Source organism: Homo sapiens, chromosome 2, assembly GCF_000001405.40.
Source record: "Homo sapiens chromosome 2, GRCh38.p14 Primary Assembly".
Lineage (NCBI taxonomy): Eukaryota > Metazoa > Chordata > Mammalia > Primates > Hominidae > Homo > Homo sapiens.
The window spans coordinates 85,978,657-86,000,273 of record NC_000002.12 but is presented as its reverse complement, the minus strand read 5'-3'; the positions used below and the strand labels follow the sequence as shown (position 1 = coordinate 86,000,273).

Sequence of the window (21,617 nt, the reverse complement as noted above, 5' to 3'; positions counted from 1 at the left end):
AGGATGGTGCAGCACCTCTGGGATAGTAACAGTGGGGAGCCATCACCACCCTAAGCGTGAAGGACCAAGGCGGGAACGTGGCATCAAGAATGCAGAGAGATAGCACTTTGGGAGGCCGAGGTGGGTGGGTTGAAGTCAGGAGTTTAAGACCAGCCTGGTCAACATGGCGAAATCCCATCTCTACTAAAAATACAAAAATTAGCTGGATGTGGTGGCACACGCCTGTAATCCCAGCTACTCGGGAGGCAGAGGCAGGATAATCACTTGAACCTGGGAGGCGGAGGTTGCACTGAACTGAGATAGTGCCATTGCATTCCAGCCTGGGCAACAGAGTGAGACTTCGTCTCAAAAAAAAAAAACAAAAAACAAAAAACAAACAAGCAAAAAAACCAATAACAACAAAAGAACGCAGACAGAGCTATAGCCAAAGGAGGGGCTTGCTGGAAAGTGTGCCATGGCCTTCAGTAGAGGAACCAGACACTTCACCACCAAGCCACCCCCCATGGCAAAGAGGGAGAACAGTAAGTGCCAGGATGGCTCTTTCCTCCTGCCCTCCTATTCCCTGCTGCTGGCCACGATGGGCTGAACTCAACCAGAACCCAGAAGGTGCGGGAGCTCAGTTGACGTGGTTCCTACAGGCCAGTCCCAGGATCAGGGCAAGGTGGAGAAGAAAGGAGAGCGAGTGGGTCTGGAGGGACAAACGAAATCTTCAGCATGCTAATATTGATGTGCAAAACCAAGCAGCACAACAGAAACCTGCTGTCTTTCACTGAGCTCTAACCATGGACCCAGCGTGAGGAAATGATGTCAGGCCAAGGCTGGGGCTCTGAGTAAATGGTTTGTACAGACAGGAGCCTACCACTGAGGCCCTGAGGGAAGCAAATACCCGAGAACAGGCAGAGACAGAGGGAGAGAAACTGCAAATCCCTTTCCTAATTCCTGATTCCAATTCTCTGAGAGGTTTTGCAGCCTGTTTCCATGAGAGTACCCTGATTTCAGAAAAAAAAAAAAATTTCCGTTTTACACAAGGCAGAAATAGAAACTTCCTCAAGTTTCTAGTATACCCAAAGTTTCAAGTTTCAAGTATACCCAACATTCTTTGGTTATAAGAAATAGAAACTTCCTCAAGTTTCATAGAAACTTATAACCAAAGAATTTTGGGTGTACTTCATCTAAAACAAGAACCTCAAACATGCTTAATTTCATCTAACCCATAACCCTGTCTCCTTCCCCATGTTAAAGAAGAGGGGATTCAGGATCTGAGTAAGATAAGGTGAACCTTATCCTGGGAGGCGGGACTCACACTCGGGTCTACCCGACTGCAGCACTGTGGAATTTTCTAGGACTCCACAGGCAGGCAAAGCTGGCCAAAAGCAACTTCCAAAGCCAGGAGGGAACTCCACCCCCAACCAAAACCACTCAGTGAGGAAACTGGTGTCTCCATCTGTTTTTGAGCGAAAACACCCTGGAGTTCTGAGGAGCTCGCAGGCGCGGCCACCCAGCACCTAAGTGTGGGACAGGGAGCAAGAAAGGGACTGACCTTGGACCTGTGAAACCGCAACCCAGTTTCCCCAAGGGCTCCTAGGAAAGCAGTGTATTTGAAAGTGCTGTCATTCCTTTGCTAAATGCCAAGGATGGAGTGGGCTGTGCATGGGTGCGCCTCTTCCCCACACAGCCACTGCTCCCAGCCCCAGTGAGAGCCTGAGCTCTTGGAGTGAGGAGGGACCCCTGGCCCCCCTTGGTGGGCTCTCCGGCCTCCCTCTCTCGTCCCCACCCCCAGGCCCACACCCTGTCGGCCTCCCACCTCAGAGTGGAAGGTGAGGTGAGGTAATGTCTCCGCTAACCCGCAGTGGCAAGGAGATGAAAAGAATCTCAGAAATGCTATGTTTAATTTAAAGCAGACCCAGCCTGCCTTAGCCAGGCTGTAATTTCACTCAGAATAACCAGATTGTTTTTCTTGGACATTCCAGGCCACCCCCTGTTAAAGCCCAAATGGAATGTTAGGGGGCCCCTTACTGGGGGCCACATGGCTGTCCGAAACTCATTCTCCCTTGGGCCAAGGACTCCTGCTTTGGGGAAGGTCAGGACCTCTCTGAGCGTCACTTAAGGGCCTCCCCTTGGCTCCCTGGCACTCCTCCCCACCCGGCACCCCACCCCTAACTTGGTGCCCAGAGTTCTAAGGGTAAAAGGTCGTCATAGATGAGAACAGCAACACCATCTGTTCACTCTGTGTTCTCTGTGCCCAGTGTTGTGTGAAACTTTCTATCCAATATCTTGCAAAATCCTTACAGCAACCCTATAAGGTGGGTAGAATTTTTTGTGATTCTCCTTCTACAGAGGGTGATAGGGAGGCTGCATAACCTGTCCCAGGTGGCCCAGTTGGGATTTGAGCTCGCTTAGCTCTGGGTGCAAAGCCCAGGCTCTCTGGGCTGCCCATCCCAACGGCCCCTCCCTCCTGGGGCTGAGGAGTTCGGGGGACATTTGTTTCAAGGGAGCTGCCCTTGTTGGCCATCTGGGTATCTGTGGAGGGAGTCGTTATGGGGACACCTGGGTGACAGACAGCTGAAGGGAGGAGGTGCTGTAATCCTGAGCCCTTCTTCTTTCTAGTTGCTGACACCCCTACTTTGGGTAGGGTTGGGTCGGGGCCTTCCAATCTCTATAGGTTTTACTGCTTCCAAAGACCTGGCATACTCCTGGTTTGTGATGATCAAGTTCTGGGTCAGAGCAGGGAGAAGCAGCCCATGAGGCCGGTGAAATGGTGCCCAATGGAGGGGAAGGCCCTGGCTTGTGATCTTGGGCAAGTCCCTCCTCATACCCAGCTTCAGCTTCTCCTCTATAAAATGGTAAGTGGGGATGGAATGGCAGAGAGATGCGGGGCTCTGATTTCTCAGGCCTCTTCTGGCCCTGACATTCTCTGACTTTATTCTGCCAGGATCTGTGCAGATGGGCCTTGGCCCAAGGAGACATGGGAGGTAGAAGGAAGGGAGGGACTGGCAGGGGAGGGACTTCTGGGGAAGTTTCCAGGACTTGGGGGAGGAGAAAAGAATGAGTGGAGCCTGAAGCCAGAACCAGGCATGGGGTGGCCCAGATGGATTTATTCCAGAGCCTGGCCTTCTTCCTGCAGGCCTGAGGGACACTGTGGCTGGCTCAGGGCATAAGTATGCCCCAAACAGAGGGAGGGGCCTCTCTCTGCCTGGTGCCCCCTCCACTCTCAAGGCTCAGCACAACTAAAAAATGGGCTAAAAAATGAGCACTAAAAAAATTTTTAGTGCAACTAAAAAATGAGCTCTCTTGCCTCACTACTGGGGCTGCCTTTGATTTCATGGGGAATAAGGAAGGGGCCAAGGAGTACAGGATCCCAGGTGGTGGATTCTGTGACTGATGAGACCCCTCCAGCTCCCCAGGCCTGGCCGGCAAGAGGAAAGCTCATGTTGCTGATGGGGTGGAAGCCAGGATCTGCAGGCCTGGGAAGGGGCTGATAAGGGGCTGCTCTCACTGCTCAGGGGACAATGAGCTTAGTGTGGGAGGGCTGGGCTGTTGCTTTCCCTCAGGGCTCCCAAGAGAGGTTTCCATGGCACCCAGAAGCTGACTTGGCCACAAGTGTCAATGAAGACATTGTGTGGGGGTTCTTGAGCCCCACCTCTCTCATGGGGTGGGGAGGAGGGGGTGCGAGGCAGGGGAGCCGTCCCTCTAGTCCTGCAGATGCCCCTGTGTACTGTGCTATGAGATGGGACTGGGGCCTCCAAAGATACCCACCTCCTTCCTCTTCTTCAGGAAAGGGTGGAGCTGTTGGGGGCCTTCCCAGGGCAGACACTATATGAGATCCCGAATCCAGGCATGCGTTCCTCAGGAGCTGCTCACCTGGGAGAGGGAGGCAGACAGGTGACACATGCCCTCTTTGTACCTTTTTCCCACACTGAAGCCAACAGGTTGTGTCCCTCCTCTACCAATTCACCTGTAGGAATGACAAGACTCAGCCGGGGTGACAGAGTGAGACCTTGTCTCTAAATTTATTAATTAATTTAGCTTGGAGACTCTTGCATGCCTCACCTAAACACTGGTCAATCCATGGGTTGGCCAGTGCCCCTTGACCTGGGTAGCTTGGGTCAGACAAGTGAGTGGGGTCATGACACTCTCTCTCTCAGGAATGTGGCCTCCAAGACTCAGAGGGAAATTGCCTCTCGTGGAGACACCGGTTCCACTTGGACTAGGCATGGTGCTACCCAGACTCCTCCAGGACTGAAGGGCCTGCACCCCAGTGGTTGTCCCTCAGCTAAGCCCTCTTTGGGAGCAATTCAGCCCAAATCCAATGACTGGTCAATATAAAGGCATAAAGGCCAGGTACTCTTGTCCCAACTCAGGGCAGCTGTCAGCGTCCAGCCCAGCTCCAGCGCTCCTCCAGGGCTTGGCCAAGGTCTTTGTTGGGACTGTATCACAGCCCAGTTTCTCCCACCGCCACTCCCTCCTTCTCCTTGTGTGTCCTGACTCCAGGGCACACAATAAACTGTCTGCCCACCTATGTCCATCTTAGAGTGTTTCCCAAGGAACAGGAAAGATGCCACAGGGAGGGCAGGAAAGAGGATGCGTAATTAGGCCTCTCACAGGTCTGCCCCTTCTGTCCCAGCTGACTCCTGCCTCTTCTGCAGGGGGTGGGGTGGAAGCAGTGCCTCCACCCCCACCTCTGACCTTCCTGCCTGTCTGTCCTAGAGAACGTTTGCCTGGCTCTCAGGGTCTCCAAAGGAAGAAGTCAAATAAGTCACAGAGAAGCAAGGCCAGACATGATATTGCCTCTCTGGGCCTTAGTTTCTTCATCTATAAAATGGATCACTGCCACTTACTTTGCAGAATTTAGAGGAAGATCCAGAAAAAGAACATAAAGCTACTAGTTTAAGGCTTTCTTATTCTGCTGGGTCTGAAGTCAGTCATTGATGGGCTAGAAAAACAAAAGAGCCCCAATGATCGTCATGTACAGTCCCAAAGATTCCCAGGACAATGGCCATCCACTTCACCATTTCCCCTGGAGTGAGTGCGCTTAAGGACTCAAACACTACCAGTGACTCTCCTTGACAGATGGCATCATCCATGCCAGGCGGTGCCCCGAGCCCTCTTCATCCTCCTTGTGCCCACTCATTCTGCAGAGAAACAACCGGAGGTCAGGGAGACTCAGCCGGGGTCACACAGCTGGTACACTGTGGAGCCAGTCCCACCCAAGGTGCGACACCCCCAAGCTTTGGTTTGGGTAGAGCCACTGCTCTCACTTCCTCCCCATTGCAAAAGGGACTCAAGGTGGGAATCAGGGTCAGCTGCACCCTGAGAGGAACTTACCTGATTTGCAGCCAGGGATGCTCCTCTCATCTTTTGGGGAACTATTGAGAAAGGAAAGACGTGCCCAATTTCCCAGGATTTCTCTGAATTCCTGGATATTTACTCCTCAGATTTCACATCTGGGGGATGCAGTGATGTGCTGAAGCTAGCTCATACCAGCTCAAAAAAGCTGACCATGCTCCTCTCCTCACAGTTCCACGTCCACACCTTCATGTTGGTCACCATGGTGGGAGTAGGGACACCATGAGAACTGGCAATTCTACCCATCAGGGATTTAAGGGCTTTTGTTTTCAGAGAGCTGTGGTTACACACTGCCCAGCACACCCCTGGGTGGGTTCCTTAGGACCCCTAGGGAAGTAGTCCCAGCTACTCAGGAGGCTGAGGTGGGAGGATCGATTGAGCCCAGGAGGTCGAGGCTGCAGTGAGCTGTGATTGTGCCACTGCATGCTAGTCTGGGCAACAGAGCAAGACTCTGTCTTAAAAAAAAAAAAAAAAAGATGCATTCTCTTTATACATGTTACACTTTAAGTTTTTGGAGGAAGAAAAAAAGAGCATTTTCTTTTGAAGTTACTCACATTTTAGTGGGGATAGAGGCCAATAATGCCACTGGCTCCAATGATAAGAGTTTTACTAGCTTTTCTAGTTTTTTGCTAGTTTTTCTAGAGGGCCCAGGGGAGCCAGGGAGATACCCTTTGGGCTGTGGGGTTTCATTTTGGTCACATGTCTCATTTCTGCCTCTGATTCTGCTAGTTCTCAGAACCACTAATATTCTGCCCTACATGTTAGGGTCTATTTTTAGAACTTCCTCTTGACAGCACCACTCCTATCTTGTGTCCACAGAAGGGGATCCTGACTCAGCACAGGGTTCTCGGGTGTGCGGATCCCGGGCTGGGCCTCTTGAAGACCTGTGTGGCCCTTGAGCCCTCAGCTTACTTTTTTTTTTTGAGATGGAGTCTTGCTCTGTCACGCAGGATGGAGTGCAGTGGCGCGATCTGGGCTCACTGCAACCTCTGCCTCCTGGGTTCAAGTGATTTTCCTGCCTTAGCTTCCCAATATCTGGGATTACAGGTGCCCTCCACCATGCCCAGCTAATTTTTGTATTTTTAGTAGAGATAGGGTTTCACCATGTTTGTCAGGCTGGTCTGGAACTACTGACATCAACTGATTAATCTACCATGGCCTCCCAAAGTGCTGTAATTACAGGCGTGAGCCACCACGCCCAGCCCCTCAGCTTCTTTTTTAATTTTTTAATTTTTTTTTATTTTTTTTGAGATGGAGTCTTGCTCTGTCACCCAGGCTAGAGTGCAGTGGCATGATCTCGGCTCACTGCAACCTGCGCCTCCTGGGTTCAAGTGATTCTCCTAGCTCAGCCTCACGAGTAGCTGGGACTACAGGCGCGTACCACCACGCCCGGCTAATTTTTTGTATTTTTAGTAGAGAGGGGGTTTCACCATGTTAGCCAGGATGGTCTCGATTGCCTGACCTTGTGATCCGCCTGCCTCAGCCTCCCAAAGTGCCCCTCAGCTTACTTTTAAAGACCTTGTTCCAATAACACATCAAACAGCCCACACTGAGTATATGTATGTATATACACATATATGCACACATATGTGTATTATTTATTTGTTTATTTTTAATTGACACATAATAATTGCACATATTTATGGAATACATAGTGATGATTTGATACATTTAATGTATAGTGATCAGATCAGGATCATGTGTATTTTTAATATTGCAAAATATTTTTAAATGGTTTTGATAATTTTTCTTTTTAAAATAATAGTACATGAGCAACTTGTTATTTCTTGGCAATCACCACACACTCCTCAAGAATTCTTGCAAAGGAGGAAATGCTACTTTCAATTTGTTTTGCAAATGTAATGAAATTTTTAAAAATACTGAATGTATCAATTAAGGAAGCTGACATAGTGTTCCACTTTGCAGGCATTTAATTAAACATTTATTCACTTTGATCATGCAGTTTTCTTTTTATATTTTGGAAGAAATTAGTTTTTTTTTTCTCATAACTCAGACTTTTCCTGTAAGGATAGTGGCCAATTGATCAACCAGGTCTGGCTGGGAAGTCAACTTTTTGGCCAAGTGGGTGGGCCTGGCCAGGACATTTGGGATGAATAGCAGAGCCACAGCTGGGGTATGCAGGAGAGGTTGTGGGCAGAGAGTAGATGGTCTCAGAAGAGTCAGCTGTTCCCTCAGGAATTAATGACTGTCAGGCTGTTTTCCAGTTTTTGGTGTTGGGGAGAAAATCTTTGGGTCAGTCTAGAATACCCTTGCAATCATGAACTTCATTTGAGCCTGACCCAAAAATGTGTCTGATGAGTCGTCTTTTTTTTTTTTTTTTGAGATGGAGTCTCACTTTTGTTGCCTAGGCTGGAGTGCAATGGCACGATCTCAGCTCACTGCAACCTGCGCCTCCCAGGTTCAAGCAATTCTCCTACCTCACCCTCCCAAGTAGCTGGGATTACAGGTGCCTGACACCATACGCAGCTAATTTTTGTATTTTTAGTAGAGACGGGGTTTCGCCATGTTGGCCAGGTTGGTCTCGAACTCCTGACCTCAGGTGATCCACCTGCCTCAGACTCCCAAAGTGCTGGGATTACAGGCATGAGCCACTGCGCCTGGCCTGATGAGTCATCTTAAAAAGTCCTCTCATCAGACAGATTTTTATGAACTGACGAGAAAAGATGTCCCAGGTAGAGTCAAGTGAAAGAGGCACAGTGAGTAACAGACAGCACAGTGTGGGTATGCGCACACTTGGCCACACACTTGCACAGAAACACAGACGAAATCTGGAAGAATGTACTAAGAACTGGAAACACCGAGTGTATCTGGAAAGCAAAATGATGTGTGAATTTTTGACTTCTAAAATAAGAATGCTGGCCGGGCATGGTGGCTCACACCTGTAATCCCAGCACTTTGGGAGGCCGAGGCAGGTGGATCATTTGAGGTCAGGAGTTTGAGACCAGCCTGGCCAACATGGTGAAACCCTGTCTCTACTAAAAATACAAAAAAGTTAGCCAGGTGTGGTGGTGCGCACCTGTAATTCCAGCTACTCGGGAGGCTGAAGCAGGAGAATTGCTTGAACCTGGGAGGCAGAGGTTGCAGTGAGCTGAGATCTTGCCACCGCACTCCAGCCTGAATGGCAGAGTAAGACTCTGTCTAAAAAAAATTAAAAACTAAAAAATAAAATGAAATAAGAATGTACATCCATCTCTTGATTTATGTGGTCAGTCCTAAAATGTGTCCATTCACTCAAAATGCTTACTGCAAAACTTCAGAATGAAGATTCTCATACAAAATACGGAAAACGTGAGTGGTATGTTCCAGTTGATGGAAAACAACATATTCAGACTGTCCTTTTTGTCATCTATTAAATGTAGCCAGTAAACAACCCATAAAAATATATATTAATGATTATCAGGAAACAAAAAGTCCCCAGGCAAAGACTAATGAAGTGGCAGGTGGTGTGGCCAGCCTATGACCACGAACTATGTGTTCCTCTATTTTCTCCATTTTAGAAAATCTTGTTTCCAAAATGTTTGTCATGGGTGACGTTTCAGTCTTTGTCCTTTTAAAAATGTTGTGGCTCTGTTGTTTGATAAAGTGACATTTGATTGAAAGATGAAGACGGAGGCCATTTCTCTAAGGGCTGGCAACTTTTGATGATAAATATTTGGCCATGTATTCACCCAGGGCCTCCCAAGGGTATGACTTGCTAGTTGCTAGTCACATAGCCCTACAAGGTAAACCCTGAGAAATGCATGTCACAGAGTGTCATCTCAGACCACCTGGAGGATGCAGTCCCCAGGCTAAGGAAGCCCAAGGCTGGCTGAGAGTTCACTTCACATCACGTGGTACATTTGCTTGTCTCCAGGTCACATGCCTGAACTTCCTGGTCAGAAAAAGGCCCCAAAAAAGTGGGCAGGCAGGTTATTCCAAAACAAGCTTCTATATCTTTTATTTTATTATTTATTTATTTATTTTCAGAAAAAGCCTCGCTCTGTCGCCCAGGCTGGAGTGCAGTGGCGCGATCTCAGCTCACTGCAACCTTCACCTCCCAGGTTCAAGAGATTCTCCTGCCTTAGCCTCCCGAGTAGCTGGGATTACAGGCATGCGCCACCACGCCCAGCTAATTTTTGTATTTGTAGTAGACACAAACACCATGTTGGCCAGGCTGGCCTAGAACCCCTGACCTCAAGTGATCCACTCACCTCGGCCTCACAAAGTACTGGGATTATAGGTGTGAGCCACCGCCTACATATTTTAAAGGAATTAATTTCTTTAATCATTTTTTCTAAAATGTGTATACATTAATCTTGAGTGAACTGGTTAATCAGTAACAGTCCTACTTAACAAAATTTTAAAAGGAGAAGCTCAGGCTCCTGGGTGTCCATGTTTTCATTAGTTGATTTGTTCATTTAGTCACCCAGCTTTGGCTCATTACTGACTGTGATGCTCTAGACCCCATCCTGGAAGGGTGCAGAAGGCATGATGGCACGTAAGCCAAGGCCCAAACCACCAGCACACGCCTCATCCTCTCATCGACTCACAAAACACAAACTCAAAGAGAAAATCATTAAAAATTTCAAGATAAGCCAGGCACAGTGGCTCACGCCTGTAATCCCAGCACTGTGGGGGGCCAAGGCGGGTAGATAACCTGAGGTCAGGAATTTGAGACCAGCCTAGCCAACATGGTGAAACACTGTCTCTACTAAAAATACAAAAATAGCCGGGCATGGTGGCAGGTGCTTGTAATCTGAGCTACTTGGGAGTCTGAGACAGGAGAATTGCTTGTACCTGGGAGGCGGAGGTTGCAGTGAGCCGAGACTTTGCCATTCCCCTCTAGCCTGGGCAACAAGAGCGAAACTCCATCTCAGGGTAAAAAACATTCAAGATAATCAACTCAGAGCATTAAACCCCAAACGTGAGGCCTTTTAAGTGAGGGCCTCACACTGGTCTCAAACATGACCAGCCCTGCTTTATGTTATAATTATCCTTGCACATTGTGTAAGTCAAACCTCCTCAATATAATCAGTGTTTCCCTGAAGGCAGCTCATTCCAGGGCTGGCCCACGAGATGCCGTTTGGTGATATGTGAACAGGCATTTTAAACATTTTAATAGTTTAGTATTGATTTTGATGTGCATTAGAAAAATATGTGATTATCACATTCCATCTATTAAGATAATTGCACAGGGGTACATAGACTCCCTTAGGAGCAAACTTACTGCAGGTAAAAAAATTAGTTACTCTAAAGAAAAATATTAAGTATTTGCTGGGCACAGTGGCTCATGCCTGTCATCTCAGCACTTTGGGAGGCTGAGTCAGGAGGATTGTTTGAAGCCAGGAGTTTGAGGCCAGCCTGCGCAACAAAGCAAGTTCTTGTCTCTAAAAAATGTTTAATAATTAGCCAGACCTGGTGGCACATGCCTGTAGTCCCAGCTACTCTGGAGGCTGAGGTGGGAGGATCGCCTGAGCCCTGGAGGTTGAGGCTGCAGTGAGCTATGATGGCACTATTGCACGCTAGCCTGGGCGACAGAGTGAGACCCCTTCTAAAAAATAAAAGTATTAAGTAAATGATAGTACCTGTAGCGAAATATGGGAAGATGGTACTCAGAGTTTGAGAAATACTACCCAAGACTGTGAGTTCTTTAAGGTGTGGAAGGCATGGGGGCAGCTTAACACTATGCTTGGTGGGTCAATCAGCAGGGGTAGACCTCTTGCTCACCCCTGATCCAGCATCCCAGCGCAGAAATGGTGATATCCCTGGGGGTCTACCGTCCCCCATGGGTTGGGGCAGCAGGCCCATGGAATAGGGAGATGCCCGGCCCAGCACACTGACTCAGCAGCTATAACTCAACATGCTGACCCAGCAGCTATAGTGGGAGGGGATCAGGGCAGCCAGTGGTCTATGGGCTCCGGGGTAGAGGGTGGGGGCCCAGGTGCCTGTGAGGGTCTGCACTGATATTGGTATCCTCGTGCCTGATGGAGCACGGACGTCAATAGAGAACAAAAAACAGGATGACATGCCGAAAGAGAGAGACCGTGGAGGAAAGGAGAAAGCTTTACATTTTAGCACTTTCAGCAACACCTTTTTCTCCCTTTTTAAACAGGGTGCCCACGGTTTCATTCTGCACTGAGCCCCACAAGTTATGTAGCATGTCCTGACCCAAAGCAGCATGTGTCAGGTCTCACTGGGCACATGTCAGGTACAGTTTCCAGGAAGCACTAGAGGATGTGTCTCCTGGTGGTTTCAGGATCCAGAGAAGCTTTGTGGTAGATGCGGCGTCTGTGTTGGGCTTTGGAGCCAGAGGCGATTAAGACCTGCAGGGCTGGGAGAAGACACACCTTGTGGAAATGCCTGGGGTGGGACACTGAGGCTCTGCCTGGAGGATTGCCAAGGTGTGGTCTGGCTGGAGCACAGGTGGGAGATGGGTCAGGAGGTGGGGATGGGAGAGAGGCCCAGGAAAAATAATCCAAGGCTGGGACGGGGCAGGATTTGGCTTCTCATGGTGTTCATACAAGTAACATGTAACAGATTCCTTTCTAAACTTTTAGAGGCCAGGGACTGAATTTTCGCAAGACATAATTTATGAGAAGAGAGTGAGACAAGCAGAGCAGGGTGTGGGGAGAGTTAAGAGCAAGCAAGGCCAGATGCGTTATCCAGGCCAAGAAAGGAGGATCGATTGCAGTTGTCTCCAAAGTTTTTTGGTTATGCACTCATAAAATATTTTTGAGCACACTCCCTAATATGTGTATCTGCTTCTGCATCAATTGTATACTTGCACAACATTATTATTTCTGATGGATGTTATAAAACAAAAGCAAAAACAGAACTTTTAAAAAGGTCATTAAAAATGAGCATAAAAGGCCTGTCAACCATCCTCCCTCTGCCCGGCAGTGGACCGTCAGCTCCTGCCTGTTGGGGATCTCCAGGCTGGCGTTGTGTCTGGAGGCAATTTGCCTGTTTTTATGTCCCCTGTGGCAGCTCGAGACTCTCTTCCCAGATCTTCTCAAGTAGATTGAGGCTGGGTCTCTGGGAAATTTATGTTTTATATGTGTGTGCAGAGCCAGGCAGATGCAAGACAGGGGTGGGGGAGGCAGATGCTGAGTTAGCTGAGTGTCAGGGAAGATCTCAGAGGGGAGTATCAGGGGACCCTCGCAACAACCCAAATTGTTGCCTCTAGGTTGTTAGGGGATGCTGAGAAATCCAGTAACTTGCCAAAGTCACACAGCTGGAGCCAGGATTTGAACCCAGGTTTGGCCAACTCCAGAATCTCCCCTTGTGAACTTTGGGTTCAGTGCCACTGTCAGTGCAGAGCTGGCCATTCCTGGATAAGGCAGGGCACTGGGACTTCTGGAATTGGCACCTTGTCCAGGAGTGCACAAGGGTGTCTCCCACAGCCACCAGGACCTCCAACTCAGGGCTCACTGTGGGGTGGGCTGGCAGGCTGGGGAGCATGGCAGGATAAATTGTCCCTCCCTCTCCCCTCAGGTGGAAAACTCTGAGGAACATTCCCTGTCCTCTCCCAGAGGTGCCCCCAGGTGGGCCTCTGTAACTTAGTGGGAACCCACTTATTAGCACCCCCGTATAGGCTTCTGTCTCTTCCCTTCTATCCCTTCCTTGTCCCACTCCCCACTCCTGGTATCCCTTCTTTAAAAACTACTTGCACACAAATCCTTGTCCTGGCGTCACCTTCTGGGGAGCCCAATGTGAGCAGCCTGCCTGGGAGGGAGCCCTGGGTCTGGAATTCGACCATGGAGCTTGCGTGCCCTGCTCTCTTCTCCTAGGCCATGGCCGACATTACCAATCAATTGCAGCATTGTTTTCTAGAAGCCCAGAGTTCTCAACAGGGCACTTCAAATACATATATATATACATATATATATATATTTTTTTTTTGAGATGGAGTTTCGCTCTTGTTGCCCAGTCTGGAGTGCGATGGCACTATCTCAGCTCACTGCAACCTCTGCCTCCCAGGTACAAGCTATTCCCCTGTCTCAGCCTCCCAAGTAGCTCAGATTACAGGCATGCACCACCACGCCTGGCTAATTTTTTTTGTATTTAGTAGAGACAGAGACCGGTTTCACCATGTTAGTCAGGCCGGTCGCGAACTCCTGAACTCAGGTGATCCATCCACCTCGGCCTCCCAAAGTGCTGGGATTAAAGGCGTGAGCCACCACGCCCGGTCCAAACCAGTATTAAACAATTGTTTGGAGGTGAAAAGTGAGTTGAAACCTATTTGCCAGGGACAGAGTCTAACTGGAATGCCTGCAGAGGAATATGCCCCTTGATTCCAGCACTTAGTGTGAAGTTAACTGATGCCCAGGATAGCAGAACAGGGTCAGGTGAACAGGAAAGAGGAGGCTTCTCCTCATGCACAGAGCACCCCTACCCAGACAGCTTTGGTGACAAGTCCCAGCAGGCCACAGGAATGGAGAACGGCAGTTAGAGGTGACATTAATACCATTCATTAAGTGCCTGATGAGCTAGGCCTTGGGCTGAGGCCCCTTATGTCATTATCACCAATCCTCTTGCCAACGATTCTCCTGGGTCCTCAGTAGGAGGGGACAGTATCAGATGCCAACGGAGGGCTATCTGACGTGAAGCCTCTGTTCTCCCCACCGCACCGCGCTGGGCCTTGAAATTCAGCCCCCAGATTGACCAAACTTCTTCTTATTCAGCATCACACCTTCGGTGACCATACATCCCAGTCTATCCATGGTGGTCTAACTCTCACAGAATTTCCTGCTTTTCAGTCCAGCATTAGGGCAAGAAGCGTATACAGCCAGCAGCATTTGCTGGATTTTCAACATGAATACAATTGCAAACCAGAGAAACAGCATTTGTGAGACTATGTGTCTGATTCTTTTTTTAATTGACAAATGACAAATGATATTTATGCTTTCCAACATGAAGTTTTGATATAAGTGTATATTGTGGAATGGTTAAATGAAGCTAATTAATATATTTACCACCTCACCTACTTATTGTTATGATAAGAACATTTAGCATCTACTGTCTTGGCAATTTTCGGACATACTATACATTACTATTAACTACGGTCACCACACTATACAACAGATCTCTTGAACTTGTTCCTCCTAACTGAACTTTTGTGTCCTTTGACTAATGTCTCCCCAATACCATCCTACCCCATGCCACTATTCTACTCCTAATTTCTATTAAATTATTTTTTTAGATTCCACAAAGAAGTGAGAACATGCAGTATCTGTTTCTCTGTTACTGGCTTATTTCACTTAACGTCATGTCCTCCAGGTTCACCCCTGTTGTCACAAATGACAGGATTTCCTTCTTTTTAAAGGCTGCATAGTATTGTATTATAAACACATATCACTCGCCAGGCGCGGTGGCTCATGCCTGTAATCCCAGCACTTTGGGAGGCTGAGGCAGGCAGATCACGAAGTCAGGAGATCAAGACCATCCTCACTAACATGGTGAAACCCCGTTTCTACTAAAAATACAAAAAAATTAGCCGGACATGGTGGTGGGCACCTGTAGTCCCAGCCACTCGGGAGGCTGAGACAGGAGAATGGCGTGAACCCAGGAGGTGGAGCTTGCAGTAAGCTGAGATCGCACCACTGCACTCCAGCCCGGGCAACAGACGAGACTCCATCTCAAAAAAAAAAAAAAAATCACCTTTTTTTAATTCATTCATTGATGGCATGTCCTGGTTTTTAAACTTAGAGACTGTGATCATCCTTAAGTCTGGGCTTCTGTAGGCCTTTCTGGTGGGGTCTTCTTCTTGTAGGGTTGAGATAGCTAGGCCTTGGGAGAATAGAATTGCTTCCTATCTGGAAGGTGAGATATACAAGCTCAACACATTTGCATGTGTTCTCTCTGCATCTAAAGCATTTCTGGTAAGTGCTTTTTTTTTTAATATTTAAGTGTTTCTGCATTTCCATACAATTTGAATTTATTAGCACTCAGCCCAGCTTGTAAGCAGCTCTGTTTCCTCTGCTTGGGGATGCTGCATCCTAGGCAAGAGAGGCTCCTGGGAGAAGCTGCAGGCACCCACCAGAAACCAAGGCTCACTGCGGAAGCCTTGCCCAATCTCCCCTCCACTCTCCCACGTGGCAGTTCCCAAAAACCCAGCTCTATGTAGACATGGCTTTTGCCTTTGTTTGTTTTTGAAATGGAGTCTTGCTCTGTAGCCCAGGCTGGAGTGCAGTGGATCGATCTTGGCTCACTGCAACCTCCACCTCCCAGGTTCAAGCGATTCTCCTACCTCAGCCTCCCGAGTAGCTGGGACTACAGGCACGCACCACCACGCCCGGCTTATTTTTTGTACTTTAGTAGAGACTGGGTTTCACCGTGTTAGCCAGGATGGTCTCGATCTCCTGACCTCGTGATCCACCCGCCTCGGCCTCCCAAAGCGCTGGGGTTACAGGCGTGAGCCACGGCGCCCGGCCGACTTTTGCGTTTGTAAGGACAGGGAATCTTTCCAGCATTCCAGATTAAAGGCACACCCTTCAACGCCCCCTGGAATGATGACTAAAAGATCAAGCTGGATGCCCCCCAGGACTAAGAGAGATGACAGCCAGAGGCTCCTGGAACACAGTTCCTTGTGTTTGGCACACTCACAGCTCACTGCAGCCACAATCTCCCGGACTCAGCCCCCTACCCAAGTAGCTGGGACTATAGGCACATGCTGCCATGCCCGGCTAATTTTTTAATTTTTTTCCTTGTGTTTGGCTGTGCTGGCTCCACTAGATACTATTCTCCCTCGGGTGTCACTTCACACCTCTCTGGTCTTCCATCCCACTGCTAGCCCGAGATGGCCATATTTGAAGTTCTGGTTTGCCATTAGAGAAGTCTTGGTTGACCTCAACTGTAAAGTGGGGATTCAGGCCCCTCCTTCTTAGAGATGATATAAGATTTAATGAAATGGGAGAGAACCTGGGAGAGCTCTCCCAGTGAGGCCTGCCCTCGGGGTGGGGGGAACGGGCTGCCCCAGGAGAGGGGGCAGAGGCTGATGGCATGTGTTAACTGCCTCAGTGTTAACTGTGAATGGGAACGGTTGTATCTCCTTCACAAGGTATTCTCGTAAAATGCAGATAAAACCAGCCTGACCAAGGTGGAGAAACCCCATCTTTACTAAAAATACAAAATTAGCTGGGTGTGGTGGCGCTTGCCTGTAATCTCAGCTACTCGGGAGGCTGAGGCAGGAGAATCACTTGAACCTGGGAGGTGGAGGTTGTGGTGAGCTGAGATTGCACCATTGTACTCCAACCTGGGCAACAAGAGTGAAACTCCATCTCAAAAAAAAAAATGCAAATAAAAAACTCTACGCAGAAGAATCTGCCCAATAAATGGAGGCAATTAGTTTTCCATTGCTGACAATTGCCCTCTGTCATCCATTCATTCACTCGGTGACATTTATTGAGCTCTTACTATGTGCCCCGTCTCTGTTCTAGGCTCTAGGATGCAGCAGTGAACAAAACAGACGAGTCTACAGAGTTGACATGACATGCAGGGGCCATGGAGAAGGCGAGAACTGTGGAAACGTCGTTGTTGAGTATGTCAAATGGTGATGTGTGCTGTAAAGAAGGAGTGAAGCTGGACTCAGAGCGGACAGGAAGACAGGGGTAGGGGTAGGTCTGGGCTTTTGTACAGGGTGATCTGAGAAGGCCACTTTGACAAGGTGATATGTAAAGTGAGGACACAAGCCCTGTGACTATGTGGGCACAACTCTCCTAGGAAAAGGGAGCAGCAAAGTGCATGGACCCCAAAGCAGGAATGAATATGCTCAGTGCGTCCAAGGAAGAGCCGGGACCAGCAGAGCTCAAGTGGAGTGAGCGTGGGGAAAGAGCGGACCCGGTCAGAGGGGTGCTGGGGACCAGACAACGTCACGCGTCATGGCCATCGCTAAGGATTTGGGGTTTTACTTTGCATGAGATGAAAAGCCACAGGAGGGTTTTGAATAGAGGAGTAGAATGATTTGACTTGAGTTTTTAAAAGGTTTACTCCAGCTGCTTGGTGGAGAGTGGATGGTGCAGGTGAGGGCAGAGGCAGGGAAACCAGTTAGGAGGCTGCTGCAGCGACGTGGGAGAGGACTGTGGGTGGTTTGGGCCATATTAGAAGCAGTGGTAAGAAACACTGAGCTCTGGATGTGTTCTGAAGGTATGCCAACGTGATTTACTAACCGATCCATGAAGGGCATGAGAGGAAGAGAGCAATCAAAAATGACCCCCAGGGTTTTTGTCTGAGCATCTGGAGTTGCCCTTATTTGAGAGTTAGAAGACCAAGAGGGCCGGGTGTAGTGGCTCACGTCTGTAATCCCGGCACTTTGGGAGGCCGAGGCAGGTGGATCACTTGAGGTCAAGAGTTGGAGACCAGCCTGGCCAACGTGGTGAAACCCCGTCTCTACTAAAAATACAAAAAATAGCCAGGCATGGTGGTGGGCATCTGTAGTCCCAGCTACTCAGGAGGCTGAGGCAGGAGAATCGCTTGAACCCGGCAGGCGGAGGTTGCAGCAAGCCAAGATCGTGCCACTGCACTCCAGCCTGGGTGGCAGAGCAAGACTCCGTCTCAAAACAAAACAAAACAAAAAACAAGAGGAACACATTAGGTGGATAGGAGATGTCGTTTGGGTGCAGCCAGGCTGGGTGGCTCACACTTGTAATCCCAGCACTTTGGGAGGCCCAGGTGGGAGGACTGTTTGAGCCCAGGAGTTGGAGACCAGCCCGGCTAACATAGCGAGACTCCATCCCTACAGAAAAATTAAAAAATTAGCCGGGCATGGCGGCATGTGCCTGTAGTCCCAGCGACTTGGGTGGGGGGCTGAGTTCAGGAGGTTTTGGCTGCAGTGAGCTGTGATCACACCGCTGCACTCCAGCCTGGGCATTAGAGCAAGACCTTGTCTTAAAAAAAAAACAACGAAAGTTTGAATTGCCCATTAGACATCCAAGTAGAAAGGTCGAGTTTTAAGTTGGGTATAGAAGTCTGGAGTTTGGGGTAAAGGTCTGGGCTGGAGATCTAGCTTTAGGAGTCCTTCAGTCCTAGAGAGAGGGTGAAGTCAGGAAGGAATGACAGAGGAAGCACCCAGGCCTGGACCTTGGGACCCTCCAATGTTCACGGGCAGAGAGAAGTGGGGAGCGGCCAGTGAGGCAGGGGAGACCCCCTGGAGTGAGTGTCAAGAGGATGGAGGGAGCTACTCTGTCAAAGACTGCTGCTCATGGGCCAAGTAAAATGAGGTCTGAGAACAGCCCATTGCATTTGGCAGCTGGAGGTCCTTCAAGGTCTTGACGTGAGCTGTTTCGGTGGAGCCAGGTAATAAAAGTTAGTGGGTAGGAGTTAAAGCAAGAAATTTCTTTGACTTTTGTCACCTGGCTCCACTGAAACAGCTCACGTCAAACCTCTGAGGAAGGGAATTGGAGACAGTAACTGGAACACTCTTAAAGTTCTTTAGGCTGGGGACAGTGGCTCACGTCTGTGATCCCAACACTTTGGGAGGCCGAGGTGGGTGGATTGCTTGAGTCCAGGAGTTTGAGACCACTCTGGACAATATGGCAAAACTCAATTTCTACTGAAAATACAAAAAATTAGCCAGGTGTGGTGGCCTGTGCCTGTGGTCCCACCTACTGGGGAGTCGGAGGTGGACGGATCACCTGAGCCTGGGAGGTGGAGGCTGCAGTGAGTCCTGATTGCATCACTATACTCCAGCCTAGGAAACCAGAGTGAGGCCCTGTCTCAGGGGAAAAAAAAAAAAAAGAATTATCCAGCCTGGGCAACAAAGTGAGACCCTGTCTCTACAAAAAAATAAAAATAAAAAAATTAACTAGGTGTGGTGATGGACACCTGTGGATCCAGCTACTTGGGAAGCTGAGGTGGAAGGATCACTTGAGCCTGTGAGGTCGAGGCTGCGATGAGCTGTGATTATGCCACTGCACTATAGCCTGAGTGAGAGTGAAATCTTGTCTCAAAAAAAAAAAAAACAGTTTTGTCTACAGGTGAGCAGAGCAGGGAGCAATGGCTAAAGCAGGATGAGAGATAAAGGAAGAGAACTAGGTTGTTGTTCTGCTTCCCATCTTGTTATTCCAGGTCAGACATGGTGAGGTTCACCAAGGCAAATCCAATAGTGGGAGTTGGAATGTGGGCAAGGAAGTTCTGTCATGATCAACTGTGAATCTACATTGGCTAAGGAGTGAAATGAGGCAATTAAGGGGCTAATGATTCATGAAGAGGTGGTTGGGTCATAGATTCTAAGTCTCAGCTGGTAGAAGGATTATTGAAGTCTGGATAAGAGAAAGAGTGAGCTGGAAACCCAGGGCACAGTGGTTGGAGAGTGGGACATAGAAACTGAGATGACTAGGCTGGGCGTGGTGGCTCACGCCTGTAGTCCCAGCTACTCAGGAGGCTGAGGCAGGAGAATGGTGTGAACCCGGGAGGCGGAGCTTGCAGTGGGCCAAGATCGCGCCACTGCACTCCAGCCTGGACGACAGAGCAAGACTCCTTCTCAAAAAAAAAAAAAAAAATAAGAAACCAAGATGACAGACAACTGCAGCCAGAGAAAATGACAGTTCTAGGGTGCGACCGTGGGAGTGAGAGGTTAGGGTGGAGGTGACCAGGTGGACAGTAGGACACAGAACTGAGAGGTACACAAGGATCTTCTGTGTGGATATTGAAATCAGTGTGAGATAAATACAGTGCTGGAGAGACTGAGAATGAACTCAAAGTCCTCAAGGATCGAGATGAGAAGTGACCTGGGGTCAGCAGGTACCTTCAAGAAGGAGGCGGTCGGCTGGGCACGGTGGCTCACGCCTGTAATCCCAGCACTTTGGAGGCCGAGGCGGGCAGATCACCTGAAGTAGGAGTTCGAGACCAGCCTGGCCAACATGGTGAAACCCCATCTCTACTAAAAATACAAAAATTAGCCAGGCGTGGTGGCGGGTGCCTGTAATCCCAGCTACTCAGGAGGCTGAGGCAGGAGAATTGCTTGAACCCAGGAGGCAGAGGTTGCAGTGAGCCAAGATTGCGCCACTGCACTCCAGCCTGGGGGACAAGAGTGAGACTTGGTCTCAGAAAAAAAAAAAAGAAGGACAGGGTCAGTGGTATAGTTTGATGAGATTCGAAGGGAGATTCAACCCAGTGGTTGTTTAGGAAGGAAAGAGCAAATGGTTTGGAATCAGCAATCAGTACTGAAGAGGTTATTGACCCCACCCTAGGGCTGAGGTATGAGGGCAGGAGGGAGAACAGCTACCACTTGAACACCCGAGCTCAGGTGATCCACCCACCTTAGCCTCCCAGGTAGCTGGGACCACAGTCTGGAAAGGGGATGTTAACAGCTTCACTAGGACACTTTTTGAGTCTTGAACTCAGTTTCTCAGATTACATAATTTCACTTCCTCCTAACTTGTTTGAGAGGCACCACTTTCTGAACCTGCATCTGATGCTGACATTGGGAATTATAACCCAAACCACAATTACCCATTCAAATAACATTTGGACAGTTTTCCTCCCATTTACCCAGGAGATATATATTTATAATCTTCAAGTTGCATTTTAAAATGATTTTAAAAAGCCTTATTTACAAAAACATGCAACTCTTTTCATTGTGAGGTCATATCCCTAGGGAGACTTACTAAATCTGTGTTCAAATTTCTTTGCCGATTTTTTCACCACTGTCATCAGGTGACCTTTATAAACATACAAACTAGCATTGACTGAGGTCATTTCAGGTGACGGCATCTCAGACAGCTGTCATTACTTAAAAAGATGAATTAAAAAAAGTGGAGGGAGGAAAGGTGAAAGAGAAATGCAGAAAGAGAAAAAAGAAAATAAAAGAGAGGAAAAGAGAAAGAGGAAAGAATGAGAAAGAGAAGGAAGGAAAGAAGGAAGAGGAAAGAGGGGAAGGAAGGAAAAAAGGAAGGAAGAGGAAATAGGGGAAGGAAGGAAGGGAGGAAAGAAGAAAGGAAGGGAAGAATAGAGGGAGGAAGTGAGGGAGGGAGAGAGGAGACTAAGGTTTCTAATATAAGACTACATGGAATTAGTCTTTTCTGAGGGATAATTTTCAGAAAAATAAACAAACAAAAAACCCTTGGCTCATATTCAGTCATCTCTGGTGCCATCTTTTCAGTCATAGTGTCTAGAACAGTGCCAATGAATGTTTCTGGAATGAATTAACTGATTGCTATTGTCTTCTAGCCCTAACAAAGATTTCTCCATGACCCTTAGATCCTTGGACCCCTGGTCCTAAGAGAAACATCACCCACCTCATGCCCCCATGCCTGGCTTTTGCTTGGCTACTA

General features: G+C 48.5%; 1 long non-coding RNA gene across 1 annotated transcript, besides 3 other annotated features; it reads left to right on the top strand.

Moving 5' to 3' along the window:
• Nucleotides 1-2,195: 2,195 nt before the first annotated feature.
• Nucleotides 2,196-21,153, top strand: LOC105374843 (uncharacterized). The gene is made up of 3 exons (XR_940318.3): nucleotides 2,196-2,303; nucleotides 2,633-2,843; nucleotides 16,785-21,153. It is a non-coding gene; the product is annotated as an uncharacterized LOC105374843 (long non-coding RNA).
• Nucleotides 5,733-5,912: an enhancer, noted in NCBI's record as "active region_16149". NCBI's record gives its function as "activates an Ori minimal core promoter by ATAC-STARR-seq in GM12878 lymphoblastoid cells {active_cell/tissue: GM12878}" and the evidence as "EXISTENCE:reporter gene assay evidence [ECO:0000049][PMID:35858748]".
• Nucleotides 5,883-6,396: a transcriptional cis regulatory region, noted in NCBI's record as "candidate enhancer chr2.3134 targeted for multiplex CRISPR interference". NCBI's record gives its function as "positively regulates ST3GAL5 gene expression with high confidence in K562 cells {active_cell/tissue: K562}" and the evidence as "EXISTENCE:mutant phenotype evidence [ECO:0000015][PMID:30612741]".
• Nucleotides 5,953-6,142: an enhancer, noted in NCBI's record as "active region_16148". NCBI's record gives its function as "activates an Ori minimal core promoter by ATAC-STARR-seq in GM12878 lymphoblastoid cells {active_cell/tissue: GM12878}" and the evidence as "EXISTENCE:reporter gene assay evidence [ECO:0000049][PMID:35858748]".
• Nucleotides 21,154-21,617: the final 464 nt, after the last annotated feature.